This window comes from Homo sapiens, chromosome 19 (assembly GCF_000001405.40).
Source record: "Homo sapiens chromosome 19, GRCh38.p14 Primary Assembly".
NCBI lineage: Eukaryota > Metazoa > Chordata > Mammalia > Primates > Hominidae > Homo > Homo sapiens.
Window position 1 is genome coordinate 52231270 of NC_000019.10, and position 20249 is coordinate 52251518.

Genomic DNA, 20249 nt, shown 5'->3' on the forward strand with positions numbered 1-20249 from the left:
GCCTGGCATCGAGAATTCTCAGCATGTTCACTCTTGAGTTCTGTGCCTGCATCACACAGCAATGGAACAGTCCCAAAAGATTCTTAAGGGTGGGGAAAGGCACTAAGAAAAGATGAACCTGCAGTCCCTGTTATACCATCTGGTCTAATTGATACTACTGTTGTCAAGCAAAAGGAGCTCTCTCCCTGAGGCACTGGAAGCCAATATTTTGACACCAGGTTTTTGAGAAAGAAAAGTTTTTTATTGTAAGTTGACTCACAAGATGAGTCAAGCTCAAATCTGTCTCCCTGTGCTGGTTTTAAGGCAGTAATTTAATTATAAAACGTTTAGGAGGTGGATTCTGGGGTTCTCAGGTGATAGGTAGAAGGAAAGGAGAGGTCTGGAAAGTCTTCAGGCATGCACAGTTCTCTTCATGTCTCCTCATGCATCATGCGCACATTTAGTGGGAGTTTGAAACATGGTGAGGAAATTCAGGCTGTGACATCAGCATGCTTGGTCTGTGCAAACTCCATTTGGCCATATTGGTTTCAACCAATTTTGGCCAGTTTTGTAGAGGGAGTTTGAGCATTTCAGAAAGTTATTTCTTATCTGCTGTTCTGTAAATTCATAATCTTTGTTAGTTACTGGTTTATTTAACTCTTTGGGCATGGGTTCACTACCACCTGTGCTGACCCCACTTGATCTTTTGGGCCTCCTTACTTCCCACCTTCATTCTCTCATCATACTTTATATACACTAATAACTCCCCTGCTATTCTGTATGTAACCCAAATATCAGCTGTACTGCCTCATCTCTTAGATATCTATGTATACTCTGACCTAATCAAAACCAGAAATTGTGGAGTGTGAAATGAGAAAAGCAATAGAGAGGTAACAACAGTATTGAACAAGAAGAAGGAAGAATTTGTGAACTTGAAGATAAGTTATTTGAAAATACATGCTCAGAGGAGAAGAAAGAAAAAAGAATATAAAAAAATAAAGTCATCAGGATGTACAGGACAGCATCAAAAGAGCCAAGTTCACATTACAGGATTTCAAGAAAGAAAGGAGAAAGAAGGCTATAGAAAGCTTATTTAAAGAAATAGTAGCCAAAAATGTCTATACCTGGGAAAAGAGATAAATGTCTAGGTGTAGGAAGCTTAAAGGTCTCCAATTAGTTTTAATTCAAATAAAACTTCAGCAAGACGTGTTGTAATAAACTGTCAAAAATCAAAGACAAAAGCACAGGGGTTTTTGTTTTTTGTTGTTTTGAGCCAGAGTCTTGCTCTGTTACCCAGACTGGAGTGCAGTGGCACCATCTTGGCTCATTGCAACCTTTGCCTCCTGGGTTCAAGCGAGTCTCGTGCCTCAGGCTCCCAAGTAGCTGGGACTACAGGTGTGCACCACCGCACCTGGCCAATTTTTATATTTTTTAGTAGAGACAGGGTTTCACCATGTTGGCCAGGCTGGTCTTGAACTCCTAGCCTCAAGTGATCTGCCTGCCTTGGCCTCCCAAAGTGCTGGGATTACAGGCATGAGCCACCGCACTCGGCCCAAAGACAGAGTTTTAAAGGCACAAAAGAAGAGAGACTCATCATTTACAATGGAACTCTATAAAGCTATCAGCAGACTTCTCAGTAAAAACTCTTAGAGGCCAGGAGGACAGTAGGTTGATATTATTACATTACAGCAGAAAAAAACCCTGGAAGCTAAGAATAATTTACTTAGCAATCTGTCCTTTACAAATGAAGGACGTTGTATAAGGACTTTCCCATACAAACAAAAGCTAAGCAAGTATATCACTTCTAGGCCTGTCTTACGAAAACGATAAAGGGAGTTTTTTTTTAATATGAAAAAAAGGACATTAAGTAGTAACGTGGAAACGTGAAAGGATAGAACTCTCTGATAAAAGTAAATGCAGAATCAAATTTCAGGATACTCTAACACTGTAATGGAAGTATGATAATCACTTATATATTGAGTATAAAGTCTAAAAGGCAAAACTGTTAAACATAATAGGCATATTAACTTGTTTAGGGATATACAATATAAAAGAAGTCTAACATCAAAAATATAAAATGTGGGTGGAAGAATAAAAGTGTAGTGTTTTCTATGTGATAGAAGTTAACTTTATCAGGTTAAAATAGCCATTTATAAGTAAAATATGTTATATGCAAGACTCATGCTAATCATGAAGCAAAAAACCTATAGTAAGTATTCAAAAGATAAAAAGCAAGAAACCTAAACATACCAGTTCATAAATGCATCTAATAACAAAGACAGCAAGTGAGTAGGAAGAAACAAAGAATCTAGAAAACAATGAGGAAATAATAAAATGAAGAGTAAGGTTTTTTTTGTTTTTTTTTTTTGATACAGAGTTTCACTCTGTCACCCAGGCTGGAGTGCAGTGGTGCAATCTCAGCTCACTGTAACCTCCACTTCCCCAGTTCAAGCAATTCTGCCTCAGCCTCCTGAGTAGCTGGGACTACAGGTGCCTGCCACCACACCCAGCTAATTTTTTTGTATTTTTAGTAGAGACGGTGTTTCACCATATTGGCCAGGCTGGTCTCGAACTCCTGACCTTGTGATCTGCCTGCCTTGGCCTCCCAAAGTGATGAGATTACAGGCATGAGCCACTGCGCCCCGCCAGGAGTAAGTTCTTAACTATCAATAATTACCTTGAATGAGGCCAGGCGCTGTGGCTCAAGCCTGTAATCTGAGCACTTTGGGAGGCCAAGGCGGGTGGATCACCTGAGGTCAGGAGTTCGAGATGAGCCTGGCCAACATGGTGAGACCCTGTCTCTACTAAAAATAAAAAAAATTAGCTGGGCATGGTGGCGGGCACTTGTAATCCCAGCTACTTGGGAGGGTGAGGCAGCATAATCGCTTGAACCCAGGAGGCGGAGGTTGCAAGAGCAAAACTCCATCAAATAAATAAATACCTTGAATGTAAATGGATTAAGTTATTTAAAGACACAGAATATCATAATAATTTTTTAAAAGACCCAAGTATATGCTGTGAGAAGAGACTAACTTAACCATTAAGAACACAGAAAGTGAAGAACTAGAAAAAGATATTCTATGCAAATAGAAACCAAAACAGAGTAGAGGTTGAATAAACATTAAGGAAAAACTATAATAGTACAAAAATTGTCATTATACAATGATAAAGAGGTGAATTCATCCAGAGGATATAAGAATTGTAAATGTAGATATGTGCACCATCAGAGAACCTTAATATATAAAGCAAATATTAATCTGAAGGGAGAGACAGATTGCAATACAATACTAGTAGGGAGCTTAAATATCTTACTTTCCATAGTGGACAGATCATTCAGACAGAAAATCAATAAGGAATCGTTGGATGCAAACTGCACTTTAGACCAAATGTACCCTAACAGACATACACAGAACATTCCATGAAACAGTAGTAGAGTATCATTCTTCTCAGGCATATGGAACATTCTCCGGACAGATCATATAGATAAGACAAAGCAAATCTTATCAAATTTAATTGAAATTATATCAAGTATTAGTTCCTACTACAATGGGACAAAATTAGAAATCAATAACGGGGAATTTCAAGATGGAGGGATATGGGAAAATTAAACCACATGCTCCCAAACAATGGGTCAAAAAAGAAATCACAAGAGAGATTTTAAAGTATCTTGAGACAAACAGAAATAGAAACACAACATACTAAATCTTGTGGAAAGCAGCAAGAGCAGTTCTAAGGGGGAAGATCAGAGCAATAAATGCCTACAACAACAACAAAGGTCTCTGAAACCTAACATTACACCCTAAGGAACTAGAAAAAGACAAGCAAACTAAACTCAAAGTCAGTAAAAAGAAGGAAGTAATAAAGATCCAGTGTAATCAGAAAAAAATGAGAGAGCAGAAAAACACAATTGAGAAGATCCTTGAAACTAAGTTTGCTTTTCTGAAAAGATAAATCACAAACCTTTAGCCAAACAAACCAAGAAAAAAGAAGAGTCAATCAGACATGGAAGATGAGACATTACACTTAATACCACAGAAATACAAAAGGTCATAAGACAACATTATCCACAACTATATGCCCACAAGTTAGACAATCTAAAAGAAGTAGAGAAATTCCTAGAAAGATAAAACCTGCTAAGACTGAATCATGAGGAAATAGAAAGTATCTTTCATTAATGCAGAATTGAGGAAAACAAATTAGGCCAGGTGCCAGTGGCTCACCCCTGTAATCCCACCACCTTGGGAGGCTGAGGCAGGCAGATCACTTGAGGTGAGGAGTTTTGAGACCAACCTGGCCAACATGGCGAAACCGTGTCTTTACTAAAAATACAAAAATTAGCTGGGTGTGGTGGTGCATGCTTGTAATCCCAGCTACTTGAGAGGCTGAGGCACAAGAATCACTTTAACCGGGGAGGTGGAGGTTGCAGTGAGCCTAGATCGCACCACTGTACTTCAGCTTGGGCAACAGAGGGAGACTTTTATCTCAAATAAATAAAATTAAGAAAAACGAAAACGAATTAAAAATCTGAACTGACCAAGAATGAGAAACGAGATTCAATCAGTAATAAAACACTTGCATCAAAGTAAAGCCCAGGACATGATGTGTTCTTTGCAGCATTCTACCAAACATTAAGAAAAGAGTAATGCCAATCATTCTCAAATTCCTTCAAAATATTTAAGAGTAGAAAACATTTCCATTCTCTTTTTTGAGGCCAGCATTACCCTGATGCCAAAGCTACACACAAGGATAATACAAGAAAAAGCTACAGGTCAACATTCCCTATGAACTTAGATACAAAAATCCTCAACAGAATACTAGCAAAAAAAAAAAAAAAAAATTGGCCTGCACGGTGGCTTCATGCCTGTAATCCCAGCATTTTGGGAGGCTGAAGTGGGTGGATTACCTGAAGTCAGGAGTTCGAGACCAGCCTGGCCAACATGGTGAAACCGTGTCTCTACTAAAAATACAAAAATTAGCTGGGCATGGTGGCAGGTGCCTGTATTCCCAGCTACTCAGGAGGCTGAGGCAGGAGAATCACTTGAACCCAGGAGGTGAAGCCTGGGTGGCAGAGTGAGACTCCATCTCAAAAAAAAAAAAAAAAGCAACACATTAAAGGATTATTTACCATAATGAAGTGGTAGGTTATCCCTGGATGAAGGATGGGTCAACCTATGCAAATCGGTGAATGTGATGCACCACATACAAAGAATGAAAACATAATCCATATGAGCATCTCAACAGATTCACTGAATGCATTGGACAAAATTCAACATTCTTCCATGATAAAAACTCTCATCAAATTAGGTATAGAAGGAATGTACCTCAGCACAACAAACGCCACATATGACCAACCCACAGCTAATACTATGCCCAAAGATGAACAGTTGAAAGCCTTGCCTCTATGATCAGGAACAAGACAAGGAAGCACACTCTCACCACTTATATTTAACATAGTGGTGAACGTTCTTGCCAGAGCAATCAGGCAAGAAAAAGTAATATAAAGCATTCAAATAAAAAAGAAAAGTGAAATTATGCTTGTTTAGTAATGATCTTATACACAGAAAACTCAAGACTAAACAAAAATACTGTTAGAAATAATGTGATAATAAATGAACTTTAAAAAGTTTGAAGATAAGAAATTGGTGAGCAAAATTAGTTGCATTTTTATATACTAACAATTAACTCTCTGCAAAAGAAATCAAAACAATCTTTTTTCAATAACCAGCAAAACAATAAAATACATAGAAGTGATTTTGTCTGAAGAGGTGAATAACCTGTAAACAGAAAATTATAAAATGTTGATAAAACACTGAAGAATATACAAAAAAAATGAAAAGATATGTCGTGGTTGGGAATTGGAAGCATTAATAGTGTTAAAATGTCCGTACTAACCAAAGCAATCTGCAGATTCAGTGCAACCCCTATCAAAATTCTAATGGCATTATTCACAGTAATAGAAAAAACAATCTTGAAATTCATATGAAACCCAAAACCCCCCAAATTTTCCAAAGTAATCTTGGGTAAAGGAAACAAAGCTGGAGGTATAACACTACCTGATTTCAACATCTACTATGAAGCTATACTAATCAAAACATATGACACTGGCATGAAAACAGACAGATGGACCAATGGGATGGAATAGAGAGCTCAGCAATAAGCCCATGCATTCATGGTCAGCTGACTTCAACAATAGTGCCAAGAACACATGATGTGGAAGGATGCATTTGGATATCTACATAGAAAAACAATAAAATTGGGGTTTTCTAATCCGATTTTTATTCAAATATTGCCTCAAAATGCGTTAACAACTTAAACATAAGGTCTGAAACTATAAAACTACTAGAATAATTCATAGGAGAAGAGCTACATCATATTTGTCCAAGCAATGATTTTTGGATATGACCCCAAAAGCACAGTCAATGAAAGCAAAAATAGACAATTGGGATTATATCCAAAACTTCTGTACAGCAAAAAGTTGGGGTGCTGGTGGTGAAGAAATTTTGATTAATTAGTACAACGATATGGTTAGAATGAATAAGCTCTACTGTTAGCACAGTAGAGATTATTGTTAACAATAATTTATTGTACATTTCAAAATAGCTAAGAGACGATCTAAAATGTTCTCAACGCAAAGAAATGATAAGCATTTAATGTGATGGGTATCCTAAATTCCCTGATTAGTTCATTTTTTGCTTCAGTAAATGGGATCTTGCTCTGCCACCCAGTGGCGATCATGGCTCACTGCAGCCTTGAACTCGGCTCAAGGGATTTTTTCCACCTCAGCCTCCTGAAGTGCTCAGATTACAGGCATAAGCCACTTTGCTCAGCCAAAAGGGGCCAAAGGGTGGATCACTGAAAGGTGTTATGTGAAAAATTTTGTGCTGCTACCCAAATCTAAATGTTGAAGTGCCCCGAATCTCCAGTACCTTAGAATGTGTTTTGAGATAGAACCCTTTAAGGGCGATTAAATTAAAATGAGGGTGTTAGAGTGGGGTCCAATCAATCTGACTGATGTTCTTATAGAAAGGGAAAATATGGACACAGAGAGAGACACCAGAGTGTCGTGCACATAAAGACTTTGAGGACACTTCATAATGGCGACCATCTGCATGCCAAGGAGAAAACAGCAAGCCTGCCTTCACCTCAATCTTGAACTTCCAGTCTCCACAACACTAAGAAAATTAATATCTGTTGTTTGTGCTACCTAGTCAATGGCATTTTGTTATGGCAGCCTGAGCAGATTAACACACAAGGCAAGAATCTGCCTTTTCTTTCTTTCTTTCTTTCTTTTTTTTTTTTTTTGAGACAGACTCTCGCTGTGTCACCCAGGCTGGAGTACAGTGGCACAATCTCGGCTCACTGCAACCTCTGCCTCCTGGGTTCAAGTGATTGTCCTGCGTCAGCCTCCCGAGTAGCTGGGATTACAGGCACCCGCCACCACACCTGGCTATTTGTATTTTTAATAGAGACAGGGCTTTGCCATGTTGCTGAGGCTGGTCTCGAACCCCTGACCTCAAGTGATCCACCTGCCTCAGCCTCCTGAAGTCCTGGGATTACAGGTGTGAGCCAATGCACCCAGCAGAATCTCCCATTTCAATGCTGACACCTCTATGAGTTTCTAATAATCTCTCCTCATGAGTTCCAGGTTGCCAGTCTCTGAGGATGTCAGTTCTTACAGCTTGAGCCTCTCAGAAAGGAGAGGTTTCACAGGGAGGTATAAAGAAAGCAGAATCTGGGCGTACATCTCCCATTATTATTGTTTGCCCATTTTCAGGAATTAAAGGATAACAAAGTCACCAAGGGGTCTTCTCCATTAGAGGGAAACTGCTGAGATGTAGTGTGAAGAGTACTGATTGGTTTTAGACGCAGAACTTCCTGTTGCTGTCTTTGGACAAATCGTTAACTTTTCTAAGTCTGAATCCTCCAGTGATATAGCAGTTGCCAGCATTCCTCGCAGGGATATTGTGAGTCTCACAGGGCATTCTGCACGTGAAAGGAGGTGGTAAATATAAATCACTGCACATGTGTGAGGCTTCATATTATAGTCATAGATGTTTTGGATCTTGCTTCCTGATTTCTGATGCTCACAGAATCTAAAATTACAGGATTTAACCAAAGAGGGCATTTTTCTCAACCTTCTGTAAAATCCCTTTGTTCTTAATTTTCACCACATCAGAAGCAGACTTCTATCTTCTAGCTCTGACATTATTCAGTGCATGGGTCTTAATTTAGAAAAGTAACTGAGTGATGACACAGAGAGGCCAATGGGATTTTTAAAGGAAAGGCAGGGCAGAGCAGGGTGCACAGTTCAGGATTGGCCAGATTGAGGCATTCCTGAGGGCCTTGGGGAAAGGGGCTGTTCCTAGTTGTCTGGTACCTGGCTTTGTGTTGACTTAGGAGAGCAGAATATTGGCTTGGTGTGTGAGAGTTTGACATGGAGAGGGTTGGGGCATGGGCTCTGGGTGGGTAAATTTTAATAGGAAAGGCTGGCTCCAGGAAACCCACTTCTACATCTAAGAATGTGCTAGCCCCAAGATGGGCAGTCTCTACCCAGTCAGGGAAGACACAGTCACAGCACCAAAGAACACAGAAAATAAGGAAATATAATAAATATAATTGGCCCTGTGATGGACAGGTGCCAAACAGACAAATACAGAATCTAAAGAAATGGAATTAAAACAGAGTTTGTCACAAAAAGAAAGAGAAATCCTGGGGATTTTTTTTCAAAACAACTTCACTTCTAGTCTTTTTTTTTTTTTTTTTTTAGATGAAGTCTTGCTCTTGTTCCCCAGGCTGGAGTGCAATGGTGTGATCTCGGTTCACTGCAACCTCCGCCTCCCGGGTTCAAGCGATTCTCCTGCCTCAGCCTCCCGATTACAGGTGCCTGCCACCATGCCCAGCTAATTTTTGTATTTTTAGGAGAGACGGGGTTTCACCACTTTGGCCAGGCTGGTCTTGAACTCCTGACCTCAGGTGATCTGCCCGCCTCGGCCTCCCAAAGTGCTGGGATTACAGGCGTGAGCCACCACACCCAGCCCACTTCTATTTTTTAAATTTCTATTTCTAAACTAGTCTTTGCAATTTCAGTCTCCAGTGAAGTCTCGGGTTGACATTACAGGAAGAGGGGGAGAACCTATAGGGAAGAGAAGGGTCTCAGAGGTGGCTATTTGGATGTAGGACTCATAACTGCCTCTGTTCAAGGTAGGAGAAAATGCTGTAGTGGGTTTCTTCCTCTATTGACTCTCCTCTATCTTAGCAGTGCTTGTGGAAACCCTAGTTTCTTCCTTGGGATTCAGCCAATGAATGTCTTACTAGCTTGAGTTTCAGCGACTCTAGAGTTCATGTAGAAAGCTCTAATACTACATGAATTTAGATATTGTCTGAGGATAAAACTGATTTGCCTTTTTTGCAGGGCAATTTTCAGTTATTCTTTTGTTCCTGGGTTGAAGAAACTGATGCATATGTGTCTTGGAGTTTAACTTTTTTTTTTTTTTGAGACAGAGTCTCACTCTGTTGCCGGGCACAGTGGCTCACCCTGTAATCCCAGCACTTTGGGAGGCTGAGGCAGGCGGATCACGAGGTCAGGAGTTCAAGACCAGCTTGGCCAACATAGTGAAAACCCGTCTCTACTAAAAATACAAAAATTAGCCAGGCATGGTGGCGCATGCCTGTAGTCCCAGCTACTGGGGAGGCTGAGGCAGGAGAATTGCTTGAACCCGGGAGGTGGAGGTTGTGGTGAGATGAGATCGTGCCACTGCACTCCAGCCTGGGCAACAGAGCGAGACTCCATATCAAAACAAACAAACAAACAACAAAAACCATAATCATAAAGATATATTCACAAAAAATTCTTATGGAATATAGGAGCCAAATATGAAATAATTTATGCTGATTTCATTTATATCAAGTAGCAAACAGACAAATGTGATTTAATCTCTTAAATACTGGAATAAATGTAAACCAGTATCTTGACAGCAACACTTCTACAAATAGTTCCAACAGAACGACAGCCTTGAGGATAGTGACTTAGCACAGAGGAACTTCTGGTGAACTGGCAGTATTGTTTCCTCATCCATGTGCTGCATAAAGAGTTATGTTCTTTTGTGAAATTCCAGGGAACTGTGATTTATAACCTATAATAAGTCTTTGACTTAATCAAAATACATATCACTGGAAGCCATTATCCTCAGCAAACTAACACAGGAACAGAAAACCAAACACCACATGTTCTCAGTTATAAATGGGAGCTGAACAATGAGAACACATGGACACAGGGAGAGGAACAACACACACTGGAACCTGTCGAAGAGGTGGAGGGGAGGTAGAGCATCAGGATAAATAGCTAATGCATGCAGGGCTTAATACCTAGGTGATGGGTTGATAGGTGCAACGAACAACCACGGCACACATTTGCCTATGTAACAAACCTGCACATCCAGCACATTTATCCTGGAACTTAAAATTTAATTTTAAAAAAACTATTAAAAAAATAAAAAATAATAATACATATCACCGAAAAGAGTTAAAAGAAGTTCAGGGTGGGGATATTGGTGCTAAGAATGTGTGTGAGCTTCCACTTGTGTCTGTACCAGATAAAATTTATGAAGACGCAGGCACAGGTTAACAGCCACAGCAAGAAACATAAGAGAATAATACCAATGCTATATATGCTGATTCTTTGATTTTTGTCCTGAATACAGAAGAAAACTATCCTATCTTGTTTTGTTTGTAATGTTTCTGCTGCTGTTTGGCAATCACACGCATAGGGTAAAACCATATTTATCAGCATATTCAAGGTCCAGTAGAGGAAAATAGAAAGCTCCATATACTTAGGATAGTTTATGTTAAATTCTATACATCTGGAGTTCCTGGGGCTCATCATGATGGCTTGAAACACTGCAGGCACAGGTGGTGCCAACGGTCACACCCTACCAACTCTGTGAGGATAGCAAATCAGAATCCAAAATCATGAAGGAAATTATTCAATATAAAATCTGACATTGATTTGGTGCTGCATACAGAGGTGTGTCTTGGGGATACCCTTAAACAGAATGCGTAAGAAGTGGCTATAATCAGGTGCTTCCAATTCAAATCTGTGGTCCTCAACCTGCATCCTGTTAAGTAAAAGAAGACATAATAGTAAAGAAGACAGAAACTCTTCAGGATTCCAACAAAATTCTACGACAAGTAGATCATTCCTATTGCCAACTCCCTGGAGGCCATTCTGCGAGTTCCCAGTGACTGATATTCATCTTTAGAGCCAGAAGATCCTGCAGAGAACATGAAGTGTAGGTGAGGTGATATTATCCATTAATAATATCAATGGAAAAACCCGTATTCTACTGAGAAACATTTAAAGTTTTGTTTTGCAAAGAGGCTTTCTAGGGTTGAATGTATAACATTTAAAGAGCACTTACGATATGGGAATCACTGCTGTAATGTGATATGTATACCTTCTTTGATTTTTGTAACTGTATGATGGATTCACTGGCATACTTTTCCTTGTAGAGACAAAAGGAACTTAAGATACAGAGAGGTGCAGTGATTTGTGGAAATTCACAAGCTGCTTAGGAGCTGAGAGGAGACTTGCACCTGACTAGGGTGTCTGCAAAGGTGATTGCTAAGGCCTGTGCTATCCTAACAGACCATTCAGCTGTGTTTTCAAAAAATCTGGACCTAGTTAGTTTTGTTTGTTTACCATGCCATTTTATTTTCCATCTCTGGTATTTTATTTTATAATTTTGTTCAAAACAAGTTTCCATTCCTGTGTAAAGAATTACTGCATAAGTCAATATCCAATGTCAGTAACCTTTGAAATCCCAATACACTGTTGGTGCACTATTTAGAGTATAATCCTGAAGGAAACTTCCCCTGGTACAAGTTGGATTTACTGAATGCAAGAATGGCTCAATATTACTTTGGTAGCAGAAAAACTCATTAACTCATCCAATAGGAGGAGAAAATACTACAGCATTTATCAATGAAATTATTGAAGTATATTACTCTGTTTCTAGACTGTTAAACATGAAATACTAACAGGTAATAAAACAATATAGATAGAAACTCAATTATTGGTAATTTTTGATCAGTCAGAAATCAATATGTTAATGTACAAGTTATGTGAAACTATTAGCAGGGTAGTGTAATTTGTAAAATACATTAAAACAGAAGAAATATCTGCAAAATGGAATCTGGAGAACACAAAATCTTGAGCATTATGGATGTTGAAATCATAGTAAAGTGAACTTTTACAACTCAATAGCAAAAAATAACTCCTAAAACAAGAAAGTAATAGATCAATTTTAAAATGGGTTAAAGGCTTGAATAGCATTACTCCAAAGAAGACATTCAAATGCCCAACAGGTGTATAAAAACATGCTCCATGTCATTGATTCTGCAGAAAATACAAGTCGAAACCAGAGTGAAGCATCACTTCACACCTCTTATAATTACTATTAGCAAAAACCCAAAACAGCAAGTGTGGCAAAGAGGCAGAGAAATTGTAACTCTTATACGCTGTGGCTGAAAATGCAAAATGGTGCTGTCTATATGGAAAATGATACAGATGTTCCTCAGAAAAATTAAAATGAAGCCAGATGTGGTGCACGCCTGCAGACCTGCAGTTACTCAGGGAAACTCTGTCTCTAAAATAAAATAAAATAATAAAATAAAATAGTGACAATTACCATATGATCCAGCCTTCCCACTTCTGAGTATATAGCAAAATAACTGAAATCAGGACCTCAGAGATATCAGAACTTCCATGGTCATTGCAGCACCGCTCACAATAGCTTGGATGTGGAAACGACCTAACTATCCATTGAATGATGAATGGACGAAAAAAATGGGATGTGTGAATATACAGTGGAACATTATTCAGCCTTTAGAAAGAAGGAAATTCTGCAAGAGATGACGACATGGATAAATCTTAAGGACGTTATGCTAAGTAAGTAAGGCGGTCAGTGAAGGACAAATACTGCATGATTCACTTGTGTGTGTAATCTGAAATAGCCTCATAGAATGAGAGAGTAGGATAGGCCGGGCACCGTGGCTCATGCCTGTAATCCCAGCACTTTGGGAGGTCGAGGTCGGTGGATCACCTGAGGTCAGGAGTTCGAAACCAGCCTGGCCAACGTGATGGAACCCTGTCTCTACTAAAAAAAGTGCAAAAATTAGCCAGGCATGGTGGCATACATCTGTAATCCTAGCTACTCGGGAGGCTGAGGCAGGAGAATAGCTTGAACCCGGGAGGCGGAGGTTGCAGTGAGCCAAAATCACACACTCCATCTGGGGCAAAAAGAGCAAAACTATCTCAAAAAAAAAAAAAATTAAAGAGTTATGCAGAATATTTTTGACCAGGAAAAATAACACAAGATACAGTTGATCCTGACTACTGCTGTTTGCAACTCTTAATAGTAAAGTTACCCTTCCCTTAAATGCTACTTCCCTAACCTCAAGAGGGAAAGCAGCCTCACCATAATCCTAAGAGCACAGAGGTTTTCCGTGGAGGACAATCACTGTCTCCATTAAGCGCATCATTTATACAGAGTTAGATTTCTTAAAAAACAATTTTATTCTGGAAATGATTTCAGATATATGGTTTCTGCACAGGATAAGGTAATTTTTCTAGCTCTATCCTACTCTTCATTATAATCATGGAGGCAGTATAAGCATATTATTAAAAATACTGTAAATGTACTGTGTGATTCTTATGAGGTGTGTGAACAACATATATATTTATTTACTACAATCCTTGAGCACCATAAATCTTATTTAATTATTACTGGAATTATTCACCAACTCTCATCCTAAGTGAAGATTTTATTAAGTTACCTTCGTTTTGTTTGGTTTCTGAGATGGAGTCTAGTATTGTCACCCAGGCTGGACTGCAGAGGTGTGATCTCAGCTCACTGCAACCTCCGTCTCCCGGGTTCAAGTGATTCTCCTATCTCAGCCTCCCAAGTAGCTGGGATTACAGGCGCCAGCCATCACACCCAGCTAATTTTTGTATTTTTAGTAGAGATGGGGTTTCGCCATGTTGGTCAGGCTGGTCTCAAACTCCTGAACTCGAGTGATGTGCCCGCCTCAGCCTCCCAAAGTGTTGGGATTACAGGTGTGAGCCACCGTGCTCGTCCGGATTTTATTATGATAGCTTTGTATCCATCAGGGATTGGTATAAGGTTTAGGCCTCTCATCTCTCTTTATTGACTCAGCCCATAAGAGAGTAATTATTCCTCCTCCCTGTCTGGCTTTGCTACTGACTTTGTTTCTACAAAAGAGAAATCCCTTTCCAGACATGACCACTTGGACTTCTTTTCTTGCAGATTCTGCCTGCCAGACTGAAACACAAAAATACTCACCTGATTCCTTCCCACTGCCAGGACAGCCCAGTTTGTGTGACGGTCATAACAGCACTGTGTGGGAAGGAGGCAGCCAGACCCTGAGATAAAGGTTTGTGAGTCTGTGACCTCATCTTCCCTCAGAAGTGCAATTATAATTTTACCTGTAGCAGCAATGACAGCTGACTTAGGGAGTTGATAACTTTTTGAAAAACTTTTTGCAGTTGCTAATTACCAGAGGCAATTACAACTTTCTCATAAATGTCTCCAAAGAGACCACTGAAGTATCCAAAAGAGGCTCTTACTTTTTCACAATCCCTGAAGACTGCAAGGAGCAGAAAATATTGAGGTTTGATCTGTGAGGCACTTGTAGAGAAGCATGTTTGTCTCACTGGATTTCCTAATTCTATGAGATACTCTTCTTCCTAAAATCAAGCTCATCCTTAATTTGCAGATCCATTATGTAAGTATTCAGCAGGTAACTGGAATCAGATAAAGGATCTAGAATGGATTAATAAAAAATGAGATAAATGTGAGAGAAAAGCATGGAGTAATTTGCATTAGAAATCGCTGGACTCATTTGTATAATTAAATGTAAATTAATTTAGAAATGATAATATGGACACGTTCTAGGAAATATACTTTACTATTGTGACCTCAGCAGTGACAGAAAAAGTCTGGACATAAAAATATTCTAAAGAGAAAGATGTGAAAAAAAAAAAGTCTCTCACAAATAAAACACAAGGATCACATGATTTAACAGCCAAATTCTACCATTCTTTTTTTTTTTTTTTTTGAGTTGAAGTCTTCCTCTGTTGCCCAAGCTGGAGTGCAGTGGCGCAATCTCGGCTCACTGCCACCTCCACCTCCCCGGTTCAAGCAATTCCCCTGCCTTAGCCTCTCAAGTAGCTAGGATTACAGGTGCATGCCACCACACCTGGCTAATTTTTTTATATTTTTAGTACAGATGGGGTTTCACCATGTTGGCCAGACTGGTCTTGAACTTCTGACCTCAGGTGATCCGCCCACCTCAGCTTCCCAAAGTGCTGGGATTGCAGGCGTGAGCCACCATGCCCAGCCATTCTTTTAATTATTAGATAAACCTAGGCTATCTTCTCAATTGAACAGCAGTAGATAGGAAATTTCTCTACATTTACCATTCCTGAATTTTTAGTAAAAAGCACTAACCAGTTATGCCATTAATTTGGAAGTTTAAAATAGAAGAGCCGAAAATGAAACTTTGGTTTCCCAACACACAAATCCACAATTTGACCTAAGTCCACTCTCCATTCTCCTAGGAGACATTTGAGGTAAACTGAGAAGTTACAGGAAACATAGTCCACACAAGACCACACTCACTTCAGATGCCCACTGCAATTTCAGTGCTTCCCCAAATCACCCTAAAGTTGGACAATTCACTGGAAGAACTCATGGAACTCCCTGAAAGCTGCCATGCTCACAGTTACAGTTTATTACATGAAAAAGATCCAGGGTAGCATCAGCCAAGGGAAGAAGCAGTCAGGGCAGAGTCCAGGATAAGCACCACATTTGGAGCTTCCATTTGTCTTCTCCCTGCAGAGTCATAGGTGAATTCCTTTCCAGGAACCAATACACGACAACACCTATGGGATATTGCCAACCAGGGAAGCTCATTCAAGCCCTAGTGCCCAGAGTTTTACTGAGGTGTGATCACATACTCTCCATAGCTGACCATTAGTTTCCAGCCCCTCCCAGTGTCCAGCCTTATATATAGATTTACAGTTCCTCCAGAGTTCAGAATTGATATGGTATATCCAAAGCCCTAATAAAAAATCAAAACGTATGGCCAGGCGCGGTGGCTCATGCCTGTAACCCCAACACTTTGGGAGGCCGAGGTGGGTGGATCACGAGGTCAAGAGATCGAGACCATCCTGGCCAACATGGTGAAACCCCATCTCTCCTAAAAATACAAAAATTAGCTGGGCATGGTGGCGCATGCCTGTAGTCCCAGCTACTCAGGAGGCTGAAGCAAGAGAATCGCTTGAACCTGGAAGGCGGAGGTTGCAGTGAGCCGAAATTGCACCACTGCACTCTATCTCAGAAAAAAAAAAAACAAACAAACTTAGTGTTCAGGAAACAAGTCTGAAAGTAAACGGAGATACTCCTACTAGACATGGCATTTTAAGAGCACGGACACCACTCCCTAAGCACTTGGGGGTTACAGGATGCAGTGTGTTTAAAGGGCTCTGCTGGGTTTCAGTGTAGCATGAGACAGAGTGTGCAAGGAAGTTAAGGGAACTGCACACATTCTGCTCTGAGGGACTACGGGGTGCAGTGGTTATGGGGATAAAAGGGATAATGGAGAGGGGACACTAGGCAGAAATGAGGGATGGGCAGGGGTGGGTAAAACAACCAGGAAGGTTTATGTCCATCAGGGTTAAAGACACAAGGAGAGAAAGCATATATGTGGGATAAGATTTAAATATTTTTTTCAAAGAAAGACACAAGACAGTGACACTTGGAAAGAAGAAAGGCAGAATTCTGTTAGTTACAGCTTCAAAGGACAGAAAAATGTCAAAAGAGCCACGCAGGGCGTTGCACCAAGGGCTAAGTAACAGCACGCTGGAGCAGTAGGGGGGCTTATGATGAGTGTCGGAGCTGGAGGCTGAGCTAGTGTTACATGACGCCTTGTGAGTTGGCTATGTTGAATTATTTCATGGACTCTGGGCCAAAGCAGCTGTCCCTGGTAAGCTGGTACATAGCTCTATGGGGATTAGGGTACATCGTGGCTTTAGGGTGTGGACACAATCAGCTGCTCAATAAGGGGAACTAGCCAACCCTAGCCAGTAACTCACATCTGTGTCAAGACAGGATTACAAATAAAAGGAAAAAAATCTGCTTTAAAATCTAATAATGGGATATGGATGTCCTCAGAGTAGTTAATATTCCAAGACAGAGACAGAGGCCAGGAGGGGGAGCTCCAGCCTAACAGGGGAGATAAGTAACACGGTGATATGATGAATAAGATGCTAAGGGCTGGGCGCGGTGGCTCACGACTGTAATCCCTGCATTTTGGGAGGCGGAGGCGAGCAGATCACCTGAGGTCAGGAGTTCAAGACCAGCCTGACCAACATGGAGAAACCCTGTCTCTACTAAAAATACAAAATTAGCCGGGCGTGGTGGCGCATGCCTGTAATCCCAGCACTTTGGGAGGCCGAGGCAGGTGGATCACGTGGTCAGAAGTTTGAGACCAGCCTGGCCAATATGGTGAAACCCCATCTCTACTAAAACTACAAAAATTAGCAGGGCATGGGGTGGGCGCCTGTACTCCCAACAACTCCAGAGGCTGAGGCAGGAGAATCGCTTGAACCCGGGAGGTGGAGGTTGCAGTGAGCAGAGATTGTGCCACTGTACTCCAGACTGGGCGATAGAGCAAGACTCGGTCTCAAAAAAAAAAAAAAAAAGAAAAGAAAAAAGAAAGAAAAAAGAAAATGTAGAAGGTTTGGGTGGATGGGGGTGGGGCAGGTGTCAGTAAAGGGGTTATAGAAGGATGGGACAGAGAGAAGATTAGGGGATGAATAAGCCCTAAACGGCAGTGGGATGATGGTCAAGGTATGGATAGTGGTGGATGGGATTACATCTTCAAAGTCTTTATTTCTATAAAGGTCGTGTGCTGAGGTACTGGGGGTTAAGATTTCAACATGAATTGGGTGGGGGAACACAATTCAACCCATAGCAGAAAGTGCATGTTGATGCCATAAAAGGCATATTCTCAAAATGTAGATGAGATATTTCAAGATAATGAGAAGGGGGCTTAGAGGAGAAGAGAAGAAAATCCTTCTTTCCTAGGCCAATGTGGAGTACCAGGTGAGATGCTGTGTCCTCTCTTCCTCAGGAAATGCCATGTCTTTAGAATTTGAAGCTCTTTACTGATTTCTGCTTCTGAGATACTGAGCCTAGAATAGAATATGTTAGTTGTGTGTACGATATTGAGCCTAGAACATTATATGTTAGTTGTGTGTGTGTGTGTGTGTGTGTGTGTGTGTGTGCGTGTGTGTAGACAGAGAGCAACTTCAGATCCAATTTCAGATTGAATATGTATTCAATCCTCAGAGGGAGAATACACCTTAATACCAAAAATTGTTCCTTCTGGAGATCCAAATAGTATCAGTCATGGATTATTAATGAACAATTTGCCTTTAATTTATTATTTAAATATTTTCCCATTAAATTTGTATCTATGTATATTCCTTTTTTTTTTTTTTTTTTTTTTTGAGATAGAGTCTCCCTCTGTCACCCAGGCTGGAGTGCAGTGGCATGATCTCGGCTCACTGCAATCTCTGCCTCCTGGGTTCAAGGGATTCTCCTGCCTCAGCTTCCTGAGTAGCTGGTATTGCAGGCGCACCACCATGCCTGGATAATTTTGGTTGTATTTTTAGTAGAGGTGGGGTTTCACCATATTGACCAGGCTGGTCTCGAATTCCTGACCTCAGGTGATCCGCCTGCCTCAGCCTCCCAAAGTGCTGGGATAACAGGCATGAGCCACCGTGCCTGGCCTAGTACTATTTTTACATAGTATATACTATGTGTTATCATACGTAAATATCCTGAAGTTCATTAAGATAAGCATGCACATCGCATTCTTGATATTATATAATACATATTATATTAATTCATTATGACAGTTCATTTTATGTGTCTGCTTGACTAGGCCAAGGAATGTGCAGATGGAACATCATTTCTGAGGGCGTCTGTGAGGATGATTCCAGATGAGATAAGCATTCAAATCGATGTTCTCAGCTGAGAGGATTGCCCTCCCTAGTGTCCCTGGGCATCATCCAATCAGTTGAAGGCTTGGATAGAACAAAAGGTAGAGGAAAGAAGAATTTACCTCTTTTTCCTCCTGCCTTCCTGCTTGAGCTGGGACATTGATCTTTTCCTCCTTTGGTCTAGGACTGGCACCACGGACTTCCTGGTTCTCAGGCCTTTGGGCTCAAACTGGAATTACAACACTGGCTTTTGTTGGTCTCCACCTTGCAGATGGCAGATTGTGAGACTTCTCCATAATCTCATGAGCCAATTCCTCATAATAATATTTTTCATATATCTATGTACACACACACAACTACTGTTTCTGTTTCTCTGGAGAACCCTATGTGTGCAATTATGCACACATTTTTTGTCTCCTATGCATATTCTTTATTTTTCTTTAAGAGATGGGGTCTTACTTTGTCACCCCAGGCTGAAGCACAAAAGTGTGATCATAGCCCACTGCAGCCTCCACCTCCTGGGCTCAAGTGATTCTCCTACCTCAACCTCCTGAGTAGCTGGGGCTACAGGTGCATGCCGCTGGGCCTCACTGATTTAAATTTTTTTTTCTTGTAGAGAGGGGTCTCCCTGTGTTGCCCAGGCTGGTCTTGAACTCCTGGGCTCAAGTGATCCACCCACTTCAGCCTCCCAAAGTGCTGGGATTACAGGCTTGAGCCACAGCACCCAGCCTCTTATGAATAGTCTTTTTTTTTTTAAACTTTTATTTTAGGTTCGGGGGTAAATATGGAGGTTTGTTACATAGGTAAACTTGTATAATGGGGGTTTGTTATACAGATTATTTCATCACTTAGGTACTAAGCATAGTACCTGATCAGTATTTTTTTCTGGTCCTCTCCCTCCTCCCAGCCTCCATCCTCAAGTAAGCTCCGGTGTCTGTTGTTCATTCCCCTCCATCTGTCCATGTGTTCTCATCATTTAGCTCCCACTTATAAGTGAGAATATGTGGTATTTGATTTTCTCTTCCTGCATTAGTTTGCTAAAGATAATGGCCTCCAGCTCCATCCATGTCCCTGCAAAGGACATGATCTCATTCTTTTTTGTGGCTGCATAGTATTCCATGGTGTATATGTACCACATTTTCTTTATCCAGTACCATTGATGGGCATTTAGGTTGATTCCATG

General features: G+C 40.6%; 1 long non-coding RNA gene and 1 pseudogene across 3 annotated transcripts; one reads left to right on the top strand and one right to left on the bottom strand.

Moving 5' to 3' along the window:
• Positions 158-19530, top strand: LOC105372449 (uncharacterized). Of its 3 annotated transcripts, none has more exons than XR_001753993.2 (3): positions 158-245; positions 14304-14781; positions 19009-19530. It is a non-coding gene; the product is annotated as an uncharacterized LOC105372449 (long non-coding RNA). The 3 variants fall into 3 exon arrangements; XR_936052.3 differs by lacking the exon at positions 19009-19530 and having other exon boundaries at positions 14304-14430; positions 14543-15086; XR_007067326.1 differs by lacking the exon at positions 19009-19530 and having other exon boundaries at positions 14304-15086.
• On the bottom strand, positions 10460-11202 carry VN1R99P (vomeronasal 1 receptor 99 pseudogene; annotated as a pseudogene).
• Positions 19531-20249: the final 719 nt, after the last annotated feature.